Source organism: Homo sapiens, chromosome 12, assembly GCF_000001405.40.
Source record: "Homo sapiens chromosome 12, GRCh38.p14 Primary Assembly".
Lineage (NCBI taxonomy): Eukaryota > Metazoa > Chordata > Mammalia > Primates > Hominidae > Homo > Homo sapiens.
The window spans coordinates 45,087,739-45,103,393 of record NC_000012.12 but is presented as its reverse complement, the minus strand read 5'-3'; the positions used below and the strand labels follow the sequence as shown (position 1 = coordinate 45,103,393).

Here is a 15,655-nt window from a genome sequence, read left to right as displayed (position 1 = left end):
GTATGTAGAGAATACTGTGGCTGTGTCTTTGGTGTTGGGGAATAGGAACGTAAAACAGCAGAAGTAGAGACACAGTCCTGTCCTCAAATAATTTATAACCTATTTCAGTCAGTTCCAAAGAAAGGTATTTCATTAACCCAGCAAGAAAATAAAAACATGAAAAGTGAAGCAGCATACAATATTTTTACTGGTTCATACCCCTAGGTCTTCCCATTCTTACCCATGAGAGAGTGAGTGATGATGTCGTTAATGTTAATTTACAAATCAAACCATGGAGTGCAGATTTTTCAGATCTCAGGTCTGCAGCTTTCATTGCATCATATGAACTGAAGTTCCACTGTAATAAAAGACAAGGGTTATTGTGATGAGCCAACAACTCCATGGATGAGGGAGTCTGGTGAAAGGGTCCTATATTTACACAAGTGGTTCTGCCTTATGATCTCATCTTCAGTGTGGTGATGTTTTACTTATTTCAAAGCAAGAATATCTACCTTATCCAATAAAAGAAAAATCTCTGTTTCATTTTGAGAAAATGTTCATTTAAGTATATAAACTGTATAACCAATATGAAGAATATAATGCATTTCTCTTATATGAGTATTAGATACTAATGGTATCCTAATTATTTATATGGGCAAGAGATTTTCAATATCTAAAACTAACTATAGATTTACAGATAGTCAAACAGTTGCATAACTTTCTATTGTAATTTATTATTTGCTGTTGGAAAGCAAATTCATTTATTGTAACCAAAAGATGTGTTACAGGGTTATTTCATACATGGGAGATTTTCAAAGTCCTGCAATGATGACATTGATATAGTGCCACTACTCTGTTATAACCTTTGTATATTATTTAAGTGTAACAAATACTTCATTCATTGCTTGCCCTAAACTTTGCATTTGGTGACATTCTTGCTGCTGTGTTAATATCAGGTCTATTAAGCTGGACCTCATGGTCCATTACCCTTTCTTTAGATTTGACCCCATGAAGTTTAGGGGTCTTGAGCACAGTGTGAAAAAGCAAAGGGTTTCACTCTCACCCAAGGAGCTCATTAGGACTTTATAGAAACACAATAAATACTCACACAGTACTAACATTTGCACTGAGGGATGCTCACCAGACACACAGCCTGGTGTCAGAAGGTGTCCATTGTTCCCTTTATTTAGGCCTGCACACTGATTTAGCCTGCTAACTAAAGAGAGTGCTCATTTGTAAGCTGGCATTTTTTTTCTTTGTAAGAAAGATTCATTTACTGGTATCTTAGCTTTGTGGGATTTTTTTCCACCTTTCTCTGTCTTGATCCATTTCTTAATGCTTCTACTTAAATTTTGAATTGCATAATTTAAATCAACCTCCACAATCCATGAAGGAATTCCAGTGAGAACTGCTGACAGCAATATCTGTACTGGAGACCTTTATTCTCTCATAAACTACAATGTATTATAATTCATCAAACCCATTTGCCTTATTAAATACAGTCTTATAATGCAAGTAAATATTACTAGGTTGGTTTAGAGGAGAACTGCCGCCAACAAAGCTACTTTAGCTTTAATTTTAAAGTCCAGTATGCATTAAGCCTCTGCTACACCTTCCAAAATTTTTATATTTGATAGTAAAAAGTTGTGTCATTACATAGACCAAGGAAATTTTTATCATATTATTATGCTCAACCACTACCATAACAAAGGTTTCCCTCTTTAAAATACATTTCATTCTGACAGTGTCATGATTTTCTTCCAGGGTTGGGTAGACGGCATGAAATGGGATTTGTCTCCAGAAGTAGAAGCAGCTTGTGAGTGTGAAGTCTTTTTTTCTAGGGATGGCTTTTATGGGTAAGGTTGGAGACTAACTCTACTATTCAAATTAATCAGACTTTGTTGGGCAGAATGCTTCTGGAACCCCTGCAAAGACTCTTTTCCTCTTCAGCAAATTACTTAATGAAAACACCAGATTACACAAAACAAAAGGGTTTTTCCCATTTACGTCAATCAAGCTTTGATGGTTTTGTTTTTATTTCTACAAGAAGAAAATAATGGGACAATTTTGTTTTACAAAGTCTGGATTCATTGCCTCACCTGTGCATAACTTTCCAAGAAAATTTCACTGGAGGTTTGAGAAAAGTATGGGCAACTCAACAATTTCCAGTTAAAGACTCATCCAGTGATGAGACTCAAATACAAGCTCAATACAAACTCAAATACAATGAGACTCAAATACAAGCTAAAATAATCATCGTATTTTACCAACTAGCTACTCTTCAAAGAGAAAAGTGACTTAGAATATAGGGTGTGCTTCTCTGTGACATATGCGAAGAACATTTACTGATCCTTTACTATGTGTTAGAACTCTGCAATTCATATTATGGATCCAAAAATGAACAAGACTACTCTAGCTGTCACCAGCCTGGTGGGTAGACCCAACAGACCATCATATGACAAAGCAACATAGGCCATTAATGGAGACTGGGCTGGAGGTAGAGAGAGGTAAAGGGGATGGAAGAAGAAGGGGAGAGCTAAGCGTTGAAAGAGAACTTCCCCAACAGTTAGTGGGGAAAAACATTCTGAGCAGGTGATACAGCAGGAGGAAAGACACACAGGTATGAAAGTTCATGAGGTATTTAGGGAGTAGCTTGTATGGTATGCTGAAGCAGAAAGCTGGGAATTGGAGAAGTGATGAGAAGTGTACTTGGAAAAGTAGTTTGGGGCCAGAGTGCGAAGGGCTCTGGATATCATGCTAAAAAGGAATTTGGTATTTCTTCTTGATGGCACTTAAGAATTTTGGGGATCCATGAAAGGGAATGAAAGAAACCATTACCATGGCCAGGTGGATGCTTTAGGAAGACAACTGATGGCAAAGAAGAGGATAATTTGGAGAGGAGAGTGATTCATTTATGGAGAATGACAGACTCTTGCAAGAATCCACGTAGGCAATCCATGAAGGTCTAAACGAAGGAAGTGGAAAAGGATAAGAAACTGTATATTTAAAAGGCATTTATGAAGTGGAATTAATATAACCTACAATCAACTGCATATGGAGATAGGCAGCAAGAGAGAAAAGAAAGTGGAGATAAGTCTGAAGTCTCTAGGCTGAGTGATTGTGTAAATAGTAATATCTAAGGCTAGGTTTTATGGGGTATATGGTAAGTAGGGTTTTTGACAAAGCTGAGTTTGAGAAAGTAAGCGGAAAAAGTCTATAGGTTATGGAAAACATGTATCTAGAATTCAGGAGAAATGTCAGGATGGTGGTAGAATCATCTTCACAGAAGTATTATTAAAACTGAAAGTCGTAGTAGATGAAATCATCCAGGGAGAGAGGGACAGGGATCACAGAAAGATTTTATGTCGCTTATCATCTCCAAATGATTGATAGCTTTCTCAGGTGCTGTGTTGGGAAAGAATTTAAGGCTACCATCAGGCAGAGTGGGAAGGAGTTCCATGAATGATGAGTAGTATCTGCCATTGGCTCCAGAGAGGGAAGTGATTGCACCTATATCAGATGTTAGATACTGGAAGAAACTTCAGCGCAAACTTCTGGAAAACACCAATCCTTAAGGGATGGTGGGAAAGTTGTGCTGGCAAAAGAGAATAAAAAGAGCAGTCTGAGTCAGCAGAGAAACAGACCGCTATATGGTTCCTGTGGATCTCATATTCAGTAAATATTTACTAAAGGAATGGATGAGTTAATAAAATCAAGTGTTGACAGTTGTACTGCAATTGGAGCAACAGAATAAGCCAGCAGCATGATTCATAACAACCAGCAATTACTTAAAGAGTGTAATTGGATTGTTTGTAACTCAAAGGATAAATGCTTGAGGGGACGGATACCCCATTCTCCATGATGTGCTTATTTCACATTGCATGTCTGTATCAAAACATCTCATATGCCCCATAAATATATACACTTGCTATGTACCCACAAAAAAATTTTAAAAAGTAACATAAAATAAAATATCCAGTAATTATAATAAATATGGTGAGATAAGAAAGTCCAGAGAAGGAAGAAATCACATCTATTTTTATTGCAGAAGGGAAGATCAGAAAGGACTCTTTGGAAAAGGTAGGATTTGCATTGACCCTTAGAGGAAGAACACATACAATTTTAGTCAGCCAGTGGGCAGTAGAAGTTAGGCAGTACAGATAACTCGAACAAGGGTGAAGGAGGGAAAGTTGTGGCAGGTTCTGGGACAGAATATGAACCAATTGTATAATAGAAGACACTTGGGGAATCTTGAGTCTCTGACTCTTCTTGTCAGCACCCTGTCTTACTCAGCCTCACCCCTCTGTGTCTCCTTGGCTTTGGGTCAGGCATTGGCCACTTGGAGTTCTGCCAACAGAGAAAGAAGCATCCCGGTGCCCCCCGTGTCTGTTTCTATCTCTTATGCTTCATAATGCTCTATGATGATGCCAGCAAGAGGTTTAGGAAGCCAGCTTCCCCAGCTGTTTGAAGGAAGAATTTGCTGATGTAAGTCTGAAAACCTCAGAGGACCTGAAACAAAAGAATGATCACTAAAAATGGGAAGGCAGAAATTAGTTATTTAGCCTGTGTTGTGAGGAGGTGCTCAGGAGGGACTCCAATATTGATTTCTGGTCTTTTGGTAGCTTTAAGGATTAAAAACCATGATTTATCTTTGGATAAAGTTCTCCCTTTTTTTCTAGGAAGAACACTTTTTTTTTTTTGGTAAGAATTTTAACCATGCAGATGTGATGTTGCGCCCTACTTATTGTTCTAGCAGAAGCTCTGAGTTGGTAACACAAACTCAGCTTAGTAGCCCTGCTTGTGAGTAAATGCTGGACTTTTGACTTTCATTTCCCAGAATTTGGTATAAGCTTTTTGATGGCAAGATTTACATTTTATTTTTCTTTTTATCTCCAAAAAACCTAGCATTTTACTTTGCTCAATACATTATACTGTGTCGACTGAATATTGCCTGGCCATCTACTTTACTCAGCATTATTTGACCACGTAACATTGAAGTAGATAAGGCTCTTGCATTAGTCTGTTCTCATGCTGCTAATAAAAACATACCCGAGGCTGGGTAAGTTATAAAGGAAATAAGTTTAATTGACTCACAGTTCCACATGGCAGGGTGGAATTCAAGATGAGATTTGGGTGGGGATACAGCCAAACCATATCAGCTCTGAAAAAGGTTGACATCATCTCCTGGGGATAATGGTTTAAATAATACTTATTTTTAAAGGTATGAAATTAATATATATTTCACAATAGCCAAAAGTTGGAAACAACTCAAATGTCCATCAATAGATAAACGGATAAACAAAATGTGATAGATACATACAATGGACTGTTATTCAGCCATAAAAGGAAATGGCATTCTGATACATGCTGTAACATGAATAAACCTTAAAAACATTATTCTAAGTCAAAGAAGCCAGACATAAAAGACTGCATCTTTTATGATTCCATGTATATATAAAATATCTGGAATAGGCAAATCCATAGAGACAGAAAGCAGATTAGTGGTTGCCAGGAACTGGAGAGAATGGAGAATGGGAAGTAAATTCACATTGTACAAGGAGTTTTCCTTTTGAGGTGATGAAGAATTTCTGGAACTAAATAATAGTGATGGTTGCACAAGATCATGAATGAACTTAATACACTGAACTGTACATTTAAAAATGGTTAAAATGGCATATTTTATGTTATGTGTATCTTACTAAAATAAAAAATAAACTATAAAAGTTAGTTTCATGTTCATTTAGAAAATTTATCTCCCAAAAAATTACATTCCTTGAGAGTTAGGGTTGCCAGATAAAATACTATACATATAGTAAAACCTATTCATTGTCTACCTGAAATTCAAATTTAACTGGATGTGCTATGTTTTTATTTGCTAAATCTGGCAACCCTATTGAAAGTAGAAATTTTGTTTTTATCATTACTTTATCCAAGCTCTTAGGACAGTGTCTGGAAAATTGTAGTTCCTCAATAATAGTTACATGGATATAAATTTGAAGAAACATCTAAAAATAGAAACTATAGAAAGGAACTAAAAGCATTCATAGATCTGTAAACCAAGGAAAATAACTCAGAATTTTTGTTTATTTCCACCTAGAGCCTTTTTCTGTGTTTTTCTTTCCTTCTTGGTTGTTGTCATTACTATAGTATAACTGCACATCCCAGTTTTTTCACTGGTGACTTTAACATAAGCAATCATCATAGCACCAAGCTGTCCTAATAAACATAAAATTGTAAAGCTAAACAATAATGTATTTTGTAGATATATTGTAATTTATTTTTATATTGTCAAATCTGTTTTAAAAATTATCAGTGCTTTATACAGTGTGCCAATAAACATGTTGGTCTCTAAATATTTCTTTTCTATTTCTGTAAGATAAGTTAACAGAAGAGAATTTGGTTAGGGATACAGCCAAGATTTTACTAGATCAAGGAAAATATACATCTTTTGGTATTGCAAAATTAATTTCCAAAGGGTCAAGTTAATATACACGTTTACCTGTGATGAATTCAGTGCTCATTTTACCACATTCTGGCTAGACTATTTGATAGTTTACAATCTTTGATAATTTGACAGAGAAAAAACAGTATCTTGTTGTTTTAACTCACGACATTTTAAAAAGTAAAGAAGTAACATTTACCTACATATTGGCCAATCAATCATTTATTCTCTGGTGAATAGCTTTTGCCAATTTATTAGTGGAAGGTGTTTCTGATTTCATTCATTTGTATGCCCTTATTACAGATCAGAGGTATGAATCCTTTGTCTGCCATTCTTTGAATAAATGTTTTCAGTTCGCTTTTTAAATTTTGGCATGCCTTTTGTGACAAGGGCTTTATTAAAGGATAAGATTGCTGGTTTATTGTTAACCATGTCTTACGATTTCCTTTGGTCTGAAACACTGGCAGGGGCAGAATAACCTCAGGGCCTGGGTGTCTGGGGGAAGACAGAGGGAACGACATGGAGAAAAAACAACAGAATTTGGTCATTTGGCCATTGGAGAGAGTCACTATCTAAATTGGCTTTCTTTCTTCCCTTCTAGGTTTTTTGTTTGTTTGTTTTTTGAGACGGGAGTCTCACTCTGTCACTCCAGCTGGAGTGCAGTGCCACCATCTTGCCTCCGCCTCCCAGGTTCAAAGGATTTTCCTGCCTTTGCCTCCCGAGTAGCTGAGATGACAGGCGCGGGCCACCATGCCTGGCTAATTTTTTTGTATTTTTAGTAGAGAGGGGGTTTCGTCATGTTGGCCAGGCTGGTCTCGAACTCCTGACCTTAAGTGACCCACCCACCTCAGCCTCCCAAAGTGCTGGGATTACAGATGTGAACCATGGTGCCGGGCGCTTTCTAGGGTTTTGTTAGTCCAAGTCAACCACAGCCTGACTCCTTGCTCCACCTACTTAATGTGTATAGCCTTATTGTTAAGAGCCCACCTGTGCCAGCATGTTTGACTTTTTCAAAGATTTTTGTTTGTTTTAAGAAATTCACTTTGTCTAGTTGAGGCTGGTCACTTTTACACTCGTGTGTTTGTGTGTTCATTACAAATCAATTTTCAGGGCACTTATACAATTAAAAGTTTAGCCTTAGAAAAATCATTTTAAAATATGGTTATCAGGAACACCTTAGACTAAAAGTCCAGGACTGCCCTTTAGGACAATAAAAATGATGCACTAAGGAAAACTGGACTCAGATGAACTGACTATGCTGTGACAATAGATCAGTGCACAATATGACCTACTGGGGCTTGGGAAGAAAAAATTAGAATGTTTGCTTACATTTTATTTATTTATTTATTTATTTATTTATTTATTTATTTATTTATTTATTTAGAGATAGAGTCTCACTCTGTTGCCCAGGCTGGGTCCAGTGGCATGATCTTGGCTCACTGCAACCTTCTCCTCCCAGGTTCAAGTGATTCTCGTGCCTCAGCCTCCTGAGTAGCTGGGATTACAGGCGCATGCCACCACACCTGGCTAATTTTTGTATTTTTTAGTAGAGACGTAGTTTCACCATTACATTTATTTTAGCTCATTCTTTAAAGTGTTTATTATTCATCTACTTCATAATATACATAATTCAGTAAATAAATAAACATAAATTGAAGGAATGTATTAATTTTAAGCATAAGGATGCACAATAAAATGCTTACCTTGGAGATGACTATAAGAGATAACTATAAAGTATAACCATTCAGTGAAAGGGGTACCAAAGAAAAGAGGAAAAATGAGAAGAAAAAGTAAGTAAAGCTTCATTCACTTTATTAGTTATTAGAGCTGAATGGCATCCCAAAGTTACTTTTTGTAAGATGATCTTCACTTCTTTTGAAATGAAACCAGAATGCATTGAGGAAACTTTGGAGGTCCAAACTCTGCAAGTCGTAAACCATCAGTAATTTTAGAGCAAAAGCCTTTACGGGCTAAAATAGACTGATGTTATTTTAAATCAATTCAGCTGAGTTTTACTTCTAACCTCTCACCTGCTTAGTTACAAAGGAAGACAAACCAAGGAATAGTTAGGGTTTATGGGAGGGGAGTTTCTGTTATATACTCTAATACATTTCATTTTGTGAATTAAACTGTTTTTAGTATACTTTCTTATTATTCTTAATTTGCTTGATGACAAATTTAACATCAGTGTATGACCAGATATCTAGCATCTCTACTATTTCCTATTCCAAGTTTGTCTTAGTCAAAGGGAAACTAGAGAAATGGTAGCTGTGACCACCTGTAGTCTATACGGTTTTTTTTTCAACTTGGAGGTGACCAAGGTGAAGGTAGTCTATACCTTTTGTAGCATCTGCCAAGCTCACAGTGACCCTTACTTTCCTTCCATTCCACCGAGGCTGGGCTCCTGGATGCCATTTGGAGAAATATGGCTTGAAGGGTTCCCCCACCCCACTTCAAGAAGAGCTTTCAGTCTCTTTGTGGGGCTGAACCCAATATGGTGAAAGGACATATCCCTCTATGAAGATGAGGGAGCAGAGAAAGCTCGTGGGGAAAGAGAAAAAAAAAAGAATGAAACAACACACAGAGGGAAGGAGAGCTTAGATTTGCTGGAGATTCCCATTTTCATGTCCCTCTTCTTTCCTTGAATCATGAGACTTCACTATGTCATTGTAATAAATTCTTCATTTTCATTTCTTAAAGCTAGGCTTGGCTAGCCACAGTGGCTCATGCTTGTAATCCCAGCACTTTGGGAGGCCAAGGAAAGAGGATCGCTTGAGGCCAGGAGTTCAAGACTAGCTTGGGTAAGATGTTGAGACCCATGCTCTATAGATAAATAAATAAATAAATAAATAAATAAATAAATAAATAAATAAATGCATAAAGCTAGCTTCAGTTGGTTTCAATTACTAGCAGCCATAGTCCTAATGAGTGCACGACTAACATCTGGGGCTTCACAGCTTTTGAGTATGGAGCAATATTCTGGCAAATGGAAGGCTGTGCCCTCTTCTAACAGAAAGTCCAGGCAGTCTCTGTTCTCCTTAATTCAGTGTCACAGTTTCCCTCCAGGTTCCATCACATGTCTGCTAATAGTTTGTGTGATTGACTAAACTGCAGTTGCTAAGGTGGCTGAAGTCATTGGCTTAATCCTAATGACATTTATCTTTTCAATATGTTGCATGGCCAGAAACTTACTTCCTGCAATTAGTCAATTACATTACTTTAAATGTGTCTGTGGTTTTGTGGAAGTATTTTTCTGGAGAGGCTGTGGTCTCATGGGAGTCTGTCTGCAGAAGTAAAGGAACAGAGATTTGACAGGCCAGTCTGGAATATCTTATGGGCTTTCTTCTCTAATGGCCTGAAAGAGGATGCGGACAGCACCGTTCTGAGGAGCAATATGTTCCTTATGGGCAACTGGGAGCTCAACTTATGTGGCATTTGGATAAATATGAAATTACTTTTTAGTCAGAATGGTGAGGTCTGAACATACTACACTTCTACAAATAAGAGATTCTGCTGAACTCATCAGCTGATAGCTGCTCACATAATTTGAATTGAAGAATACTGTAAGGCTTCGCTCTTCAAGAAACAATTCTCTCACGAAGCACATCACCCACTCCTACAGGAAATTCCAACCCTTTTTGATCAGACAACGAAGGAGGAGCCAGGAATTATCCCCAGAAGGTTAGTGTTAAACAGCAGACGTTATCTAGGAGCAAAGGAGAATCCTGGGGATTCTATTGATCTCTCATTTTAAGTTGGCAAGCATTGTGGTTTATTATTAGACTAGCAAACTGTTGCCTAGGAAACTGGAAAAGAAAAGAGCTGGGGTTGAGAGGTACGTGTGGGTGGGGAATAAGGTTAGGAGACATTATTAAATAGCTTGGGGTAGACATGGATCCTCAGGGATGAGCATGGAAGGTTGGCACAACCAGTGCCCACACAATGACCTTGTTGTGGCTGGATGCCAGAAAGGCAATAAAAAAGTTCAAGGAAAGTGGGAAGAAATGTCCTGGTTGATGATTTAAAAGCAGAATATTTCAATGACCTCAAAGGTTTACCTTGGCTATCTTGCTGATCAGATCAACTATCTATTAGGAGCTATCATTCCAGAGTACCTCAAATATCTACTATGTACCTGTGAGAATATAAGAATCAAGTTAGAAACGACTGCCTTTGTTCTTCTGCTCATTTTTCCCTTTACATTCCCCTTACATGAAGGAATTCATAGTAGCTATACACACATTGCTATAGCAGAATTGAATGGGAACAGATTTATGCCTACATGAATTCACTGTTGTCCAGAAGTTAACCCTGGCAGTCGTGAAACTGACATGTCTTTGGACTAGGGTTGCCAGATTTATCAAAATAAAACAAAACAAAAGAGAATGTCCACTTGAATTTGAATTTCATATTCAAAATTTTACTGAGTGACTATATTTTATCTGATAACCTTACTTTGGAACCAGTGAGGAATACCTTTTTCTCATCAAGGAACTTGTCATATTTATATAGTAAGCAACTAAAATTGATCACTGCATATTCAATTCATGAAACAATTACTGAGCACTTTTTTGTGAAATATTGTGCAAGCTGTGGGGAAGCTGAGCATGATTAAAATATGATCAAATTGTGAAAACTTTATTTAATGAGGAAATATGTGAATAAGTAGGAAGAGCCTAAAATCATTCTATTATGTGAAGAGCATAATCCATCCTGTGTTTGAGGATGACAACTCCGTAGCAATGTAATGATGGATTGGTGAGGCAAGAGTCTAGAGGCAGGGAGTCAGCTAAGTAGAATGATGGCAATTATTGCCAAAGAGGAATTGTGCTCATGATTTTAATAAAAATTAACCACTGTCTCTTTAATGTATTGAACATCCTATTTTCTGGTTTTGAAGTGGAGTAAGAGCCACTTCAATACCCCTTCTGTTTTTGATCCTAGCCACTGAGGTCACATTGGCCCAAGCCTGCATTTCTCTCCCTGTAGCTGGCTGCTCTGTGGATTGCAGGCTACAGCATTCTCCTACATGTCTAAGAAGTGCACAGGACGCTTCTTGGGATACCAAATATCCCTGTACCCATATAGATTGAGAACTCGAACTTACCACTATGTTCCCAAAGTAAAAGGAAGTGCATGATTGTGATGCTTACAGGAACTGGGGGAAGCATGTATAAATTAATCACCAAGAACTTGCATCTGTAGATTTCTGATTTGGGGTTCTTGCTAGAAATGACAATTTTATGTTACTATTAAAAATATAACCTCAGGTCATGAGCGGTGGCTCATGCCTGTAATCCCAGGACTTTGGGAGGCCAAGGCGGGCAAATTGCTTGAGGCCAGGAGTTTGAGACAAGCCTGGCCAACATGGTGAAACCCCCGTCTCTACTAAAAACACAAAAAATTAGGCTTGATGGCACATGCCTGTAATCCCAGCTATTCGGGTGGCTGAGGCACGAGAATCGCTTGAACCTGGGAGGCAGTGCTTGCAGTGAGCCGAGATCATGCCACTGCACTCTAGCCTGGGTGACACAGCAAGATTCTGTCTCAAAAAAAAAAAAAGAAGATAACTTCAGAGTAATGGTAATGTTGTCTTTATTTAAACTGAGTTTCTTTGTTGACCACATTTGTATCTGTAATTCAGAGAGATAAAACAAATCAATACCCATAATTATAACTAAAATTCATTAACTGTTATTTAATACTGAAGATTTTCTAGTCAGTGTATTCAGCATTTTATGTGACTTATTTAATTTTTCCATTGACCATATGAAAGGATTAGAGATGTTATTAAGAGGCAATACATAAAGAAGAACAATGAAAGAATCATAAACATTATTAAAATTATAAAATGTGTCAAAAGCATGCCCATTATTTTTTTAAAATGCCATTTTTACTTAATAATTTTGTACAGATTAATAAGTGATAACATCAAATATTAGTTCTGATATAGTCCCATGTACTTTTGGGAAGATAAAAATTAGCAAGACTTCTGGAAGGCCATTTTTAAAATAACTTAAATGTTCATGCCCCAATGATCTAGAAATTATTTGTGAGGGAATTTGTACCAGAGAAATAATTAGAAATGTACACATAGATTCTTAACTAAGGATGTTGATTATAATATTATTATTGGGAAATAAAAAAGATCTGAATGTTTAACAATAAGAGTTTTGTGAATCATGTTTTAATTTCATTTTTTAATCATTTGTGAAGATGATGATTTTGTATTCATTCTTCATATTTCCTTGGAAAAATAATACTAAAACATTTAAAAAATGGTCTTCACGTAATTAAGACATTACAGAATATAATATTTTAAAGAAATTATTCAAATTTCTTTAGTTTTTTTCTTTATATTATATCGATACATTGGAAGAATCAATATGGCTTTAAAGTTTAGCAGTTAACTGTCTCTTTAATTAGCAATAAATAGTCTTCACAACAAAACATATATTTAAATAATTATCATTACATAATAATCTCCGTATTTGTATCCAGGTAATTCAGCCCATCAGAAAAATGTTGTCATATTATTACTAAATTTTCTCTTTGAGTATTTGTCCATAGGCTTGATTCAGGCTGTAGCAAGCCTATGTTTGCTTTTTTCCTCCCCCTTTAACATCTGCTTTATTTTTGAGTGAGAAAAGAGATTTGAGCACCTAGCCAGCCCATCAAAAAATTTCCCCGTTTAAATACAAAAGAAATAATCATCTTGAGGTCTCTTGCTGCTTTAATTTAATTTGCTCCTGTAAATTCTTTAGATTTTTACATACAAACTTGGTTCCATTTCATAAAGTCTAGTGGGCTCCCCGTCTAAATTTTTCTATCCACCTGACAGTCACAAGAACGCCTAGTTAGGATTAAGAACTCCTGGTAAGGATTAAGCCAGGAAGCAGTTTTTAACTACAACAAATTGAAACGTTTGCACAAGGAAGTGTTGCTTTTATAAGTGATGGGAAACTTCAAATTTGATTACAAGCAACCTTTGGCTTCCTATCTGTTCAACAATAGGCCATGTTGTTAAGGGCAATTTCCATGCACAGCATGTGGGTCCCATTTTTTCATCCTTAGACATGGTTGTTTACTGTTCAGCACTGTTTATGCATTTTAATCAGGCTTTTTCAGTCTCCCTTAATAAATCACTACAAAGTGAATGTACCAAAACAAGAACTATTATGCAGTATTGGTTGCCCTTACGCATTATTTGCTGCCCTGGAGTTTTACTCAGTATCCACATTTTGAAAAATCTATGACAGCAAGAAAAAAAATCCACATCCAAAAGTGTTATATTTAGAATTGCAACATTTCTGGCTAAATGCCCTCTTTGAGCTCCGTTCTTTAACAGTAGGAGCCTGACTTTAAAATTCAGTTCAAGCAAGAATGACTTAACAATTGGAACCTGCCATCGGTCCTTGGGACTGAAAGTCTTTTTGATGGGATGAAGCTGACAGCCTAGTTCCTGCTTAGCAGGCATTCACATGAAATGAGCCTGTATTAGTATAGATAAATGTTTAGACATTCAGGTATCTTTCTGTCTGAGAACAGTATTATTGGTTAAGGCAATGGTAAGCAGAAGAAAAAGGAGTTTTCAGGCACTTATGCCTGAATGAGAAAGGACAATGACTTGTTAGCATCATCTGGCAAGCAGGCAAAAGAAAGTTTGATCTCTCTCTTCCCTTCTTAAGGCAAAACTTTCATTAGCTTTTAAATGAACTAAGAATAAAGCACATTTTTTCCCTCCAAGGATTTTTTGTCATTAAATTAAATGCATTTTCTTAACTTTGGTTTCTATCATCAAAGTCTGATTATTACTAAGCTATATTTGAAAGCCCAGGCTAGAGGAAAGAATGCCCTGAAGGAAAAAGAAGTCAAGGGGTATTGTACAATGTAGATTTGCATTTTAAAACATGACTTGGCACTTAGAATTTAGATCCAGTGATCAATACTGGATCACTGGATCGAGTATTGTTGTAGTGATATATAAGAGTCACTAGAAAATTAATAGCCTATGTATGTATTATAATTTGAGGCTTGGGGGAGAGTTCAGCAAATACAGGAATTATAGGAAAATATTTTAAGTGAATGGATGGTTCCCAAACCAAGTAATTATTTGGAAATACCCATGCTAAACTGCATTGCAAAACATCTTGTATTACCCTCTGACATCACTATAAAATCCTCTGGAGGTGCTTTGCATAATTCTTCACAAACTCAGCTAGCCAAAGTGCTGTTTTGGATGTATCCGGGAAAAAAACAATTCAGGAGTAAGAAACATATTGTTATGTGTTTAATTAAGAGGTAGATACAAGTGCTGGAGGACTTTTTTTCTGAAAGTATTTATCATGAAAGCAACAGGCACACTTTTGGAGGTGTTTTTATTTTAATTCCTGCACAACTAATAGTGTAGCACAAAAATATTCCATCTGAAAAATATGAGCTTGGCATTTAATTTATAAGTTTTCTAAACTGTATCCAAATGTCCAGAAATTTACCCTTCACCCATTCCTTTTTGCCCACAAATTTATAATAGTTCTTTTTCATTTTTTTTTTTTTTCCAATCCAGGCTCTCAAGCTTTGATTTCTTTCCTCATAATGCCTCCTAATGCTATTGGTTGCATTAGGGTAAGGCACCCCAGTAAATATAATCTTTGCATGACAACTTCATTTAGTCTTTCAATAAACTCACTATAATTCTCTTTATTTCTTAATCCATGGTCCTTTGAGGTATAAACTGTTACGTTGACTCCTAATATTGATTCTCCCTTCCTCCTTAGTGAATAAACATTAATTTTAGCTGGGCACATTTTGCACAGGTAAAGAACCACATTGACCAGCCTTTCTTGTGGCTAGATGTGATGATGTGACTATGTTCTGGCCAATAAAATGTAAGTAGAAGTATTGTTTGGATCCTCCAAAAAGACTTTTTAAGAAGAAGGAGGAATGCTCTCTCTCCAACCCTTCCATTCACCCCCAAATCCAATTGCCTGGAATATAGGTGTGACGTTGGTCCCTCTAACAGCTGCAGGGACCTTGAGAATTAGGATGACATCCTATAGATGTAGGAATAGTAAGCTGTAAGAACCCTGACTCTCAGGGAACTTTACGTAGCTGTCATTCCAGTCCTGAGCTATGTTAGGTTTGCCTGTTACACACAACTGAAATAATCCTATACCCTAACCCAAGTATGAGAAAAAGTATGGAGGGTTTGACATGGGCTAGATTCTGGGACCT

The 15,655-nt window shown here is 36.7% G+C and overlaps 1 long non-coding RNA gene across 1 annotated transcript in view; it reads right to left on the bottom strand.

Moving 5' to 3' along the window:
• Positions 1 to 286: 286 nt before the first annotated feature.
• Positions 287 to 15,655, bottom strand: part of DBX2-AS1 (DBX2 antisense RNA 1) — a 52,118-nt gene continuing 36,749 nt past the window's right edge. The window contains exon 2 of the long non-coding RNA NR_186005.1: positions 287 to 337. This is a non-coding gene — a long non-coding RNA (DBX2 antisense RNA 1). The remainder of the gene's footprint in view (positions 338 to 15,655) is intronic.